This window comes from Homo sapiens, chromosome 4 (assembly GCF_000001405.40).
Source record: "Homo sapiens chromosome 4, GRCh38.p14 Primary Assembly".
In the NCBI taxonomy this organism is placed as follows: Eukaryota; Metazoa; Chordata; class Mammalia; order Primates; family Hominidae; genus Homo; species Homo sapiens.
In genome coordinates this window covers 57,409,083-57,412,719 of record NC_000004.12, presented here as the reverse complement: position 1 = coordinate 57,412,719, position 3,637 = coordinate 57,409,083, and positions in this window count along the sequence as shown.

Genomic DNA, 3,637 nt, shown 5'->3' with positions numbered 1-3,637 from the left:
AAATTTCATGGCCTCCTTTTGCACCTAGGAGGCTAGAGCTGCACAAAGCTGCTTAATGAGGAACTGGGGGAAATTGGCCCTGTAAGCATGTGGCTAGAACTACACAGTTCATTTTTGTATAGTGGAACTTTCTTCTGTTTATGGTGAGTAGATCTTTGTAACACAAAAGAGAGAAAAAGAAGAAAGTTAAGTGGTGACATATCTTGATAAATGGTAAATGCCATACCAAATGCTAACTATATGCTGGGCATTATTCTGGTTACTGAGGAAACAGCAATGAAATAGACAAAGTTCCAGCTCCCATGGAGCTAACACTCTAGTGAGAGACAGACTTCAAAGAAATAGATATACAGCATAATATTGGGTATATACATGTTTAGAAGAAAACACAGAGCAGAAAGAAAGAACATGAAAATGGCTCCGACTTTCAATAGGATAGCTAGGAAAAGCCTCACTAAAGAGGTGATCTGAAAGAGACAAAGAAGTGAAGTAAGGGAAAGACCCATGGGAAAATCTGGGATGAGAGTTCCAGGCAGCGAGAACAGCATGTGCACTGCCCTTAAGGTGGAGGCAAGCTTGGTGCGATGGAGGCATGGCACAGGTAGGAAGGTGACTGGAGCTGCAGGATGTGGGGGGAGCTACATGAAATGAAGCCAGAGAGTCTAGTAGGCCACTTGAAGGACTTTGGATTTTGTTCTATCCAAAGCTATTGACGGGAAACTATTGGAGGATTAGAGCGAGTGAATATACAATCTGATTTTTTAAAGATCACTCTGGCTGCTATTTGGAGAATAGTCTCAGAGGGCAAAGTAGGAGCAAGGAGACTAATTGGGGATGGGGAAAGAAATCAAGTTCTCTTTTGGATGATGCATGTGGTCACACCCCCTGTATACCAGCTCAGATCCCCATCACTGCCAATTTCTTTTTCTCTACTTTGGAACCCACCTATGCCAGGTCCACTTTAGAACTTAGGTAAAATTCAACACCAACGGTAATAAAATCTATTTTCCCAAATGGCATGACTGAGGCTGTAGGACAACCCAGAAGCACTGGGGAAGTTAGCTCTCCATGGGTGAAACTTGACCAATAAGAAATGCAAGATGGGAGGGAAACACAAATAAAGTTCCCTCCCTTTCTCTTTCTTTATGACTACCCTAAAGGGCAGCTCTTCCTTACTATCCTATAGGAAATCTATGTGCCAAGTAAACAAGCCTGAGGGCCACCGGCTGTGTTTCTTCATAGCTTGGTTTACTGCTAGGACCAAGCAGAAATGCATCTCATGGCCAACCCTGCGTCTTCCTATCTTCCTTGTTTCACTTCCTTTGCATCTTTGCCTCTACAACCTGGACTTTCACATTTAAAATAAAGTAGTAGCATCTTATGCTGGCTTCAAGCTCTACTTTCTAGAGGGCCACCTTAAGATATGCATGTTAAATTGAAGGCACATATTAGACAACTTAAGGGAGATGGGTACACAAGCCAGAATTTCAGGGAAAATATTAAGGCTAGAGATATTCATTTTGGAGTTATGTATAAATGATATTTACATATCATTTATCCTGTTCAGTCAGCATCACTAAGGGAGAGTAGAGAGAGGGGAGATCTGAGGCTTTATTGAAGGACACTCTGGCACTTAGGGGTAGAAATTAGAAGAAGCCATTAAAGGATTTTTAGAATGAGATCGAAGGAAAAGGAGGAAAGGGTGGCATCCTGAAAACAAACTGGAAAAGGTGCTTCAAAAGGGGAATGGCAGCAGTTGCTGGTACATGAGAAAAATGAAGAGTGAGAACCAATAGCTGGGTTTGGCAACATGGAAGTTGTTGATGACTGAACAAGAGCAGCTCTGCTGAGTGGTGAGGGTAAAAGCTTGATGACAGAGGGTTAAGAGAGATTTGGCAGGAGAGAATGGGCAGACAACTCCCAAGAGGAATTGTGCTATGAAAGGAAGCAAAGGAATTGGAGAAGTATGTTTGTCTAGGTCTTTCACAAAACAGACTCAAAGCCTGGATTAAACATGTAACGATTTTATTATGGGGAAATGCCTATGTTAAAAGAGGTTGGGGAGCTGTCAGACGCTAATGCAAGTCTGAGGCTCAGTGGGCTTAGTGGAGGAGAAAGGAAGACAGGAATGAGTGGAAGCAGGCTAGGCTGCCACGCAGTTCATGGAAAGTTTGACAAAGCTATTAGTTCTCAAGCCAGAGTTGGCCAACAAAGGAGTCCTGTGTCTCCCAAGAAGGGCTCTGTCTTAGTATTACTGCCTAACTCAGTCATTGGCAGGGAGTAGTCTGTGGAAAACATTGCCTCGGTACAAAGGGAGAATAGATTCCAAAGCACAGCAGCTGGAGCCCTGGGTAAAGAATGCTCCCTTTAGTAGGATGTTTCCCTTAGTAGGAAGGCCACTGCAACATGTTGATGGAGAAAATGAAGGGTCAAGGGAGAATATTTTTTCTTAGGATGACAGATGACACAGCCTGTCTGTGGAATGTTGGGGTGACCTAGAGAGAGGATCATAATATGAAGCTGTAAAGAGGGCCCATGGCAGAAGCAGAGTCTTTAAAAAGATGAAAGAGGGGCAGAATCAGCTACAAGAGTGAAGGATTTTGCCTTCAATGGGACAGGGGTTCAGGACAGAAAACAAAGTCCTCAGTACACATTCAGTGGATTGGTAAACTACTTGGTGAAAGATTGAAGTCGTCCTTTCCTGTTGCCTTAAACTTTCTCAGGAAAGTAGAAAGCAAGACCATCAGCCATGAGTGAGAACTATGGAGGGAGTAACGAAAATATGAAGAGAAAGAAAATGTTGTAAAATAATCACCAGCAACAGTGGGAGAGTAAATCAACAAAAGCAATGTGGTAGAATTGTGAGGTTCACTGTATATGAACAAGAGAACATGAGTGAGCTTATTATAATGTAAATAAAATAATCGCAGACACTAGCTTACACGTGGCGAATGACAAAAATCACTGTAGCAAGAGCTTTCAGACTAATTTCGATAGGCTGTAGTGCAGGGCTGCTCAGGCTTGATTTCCCACACCTGTCATGTATGACTACCTATTAATTCCCATGTTTCCCACTTATCCTACTGCCTGGTGGCCTGAATATTTCATGCACCTCACAGTTCACAACATAAGGATAGTCCACCTGGCTGGTACCACAGTGGCAGGGAGGGCAGCTGCACTGAAGACTTCTCCCACCACCACTGGATCCAAGGGAGTGATCTGACCCCATTCATTTACATCCAAACTCCCTTTGATATATCAACAAGTTCTTTCATCGACGTGCTTGAAAGGAGATATTAGGTGTATGTGTCTGGAAAGATTTTGGAAAGTTATTACTGGTTGTTCAGATTAAAGTGAAAATTTTGTGCACAGAATGGAGGTGTGGAGGTGAGACTCAAGCGTCAGTATTTTTTTCAACTTCCTAGTGATACTCATGTGCATCCAAGATAGAGAACCACTGTGCTAAAAGAGTGAAGAAAAAAAAACAATTCAATTCAAGTACAAAAATGGATCTTATTTTTTGTGTACACTTGAGGTGGGTCATATAGTAAGATTCCAGTGGATAGAACGAGAAAACGGGGAATTCTAGGGCTAGAGGAAAAGCAGTAAGATGAAAAAAACACTCCAAGAGAGAAAC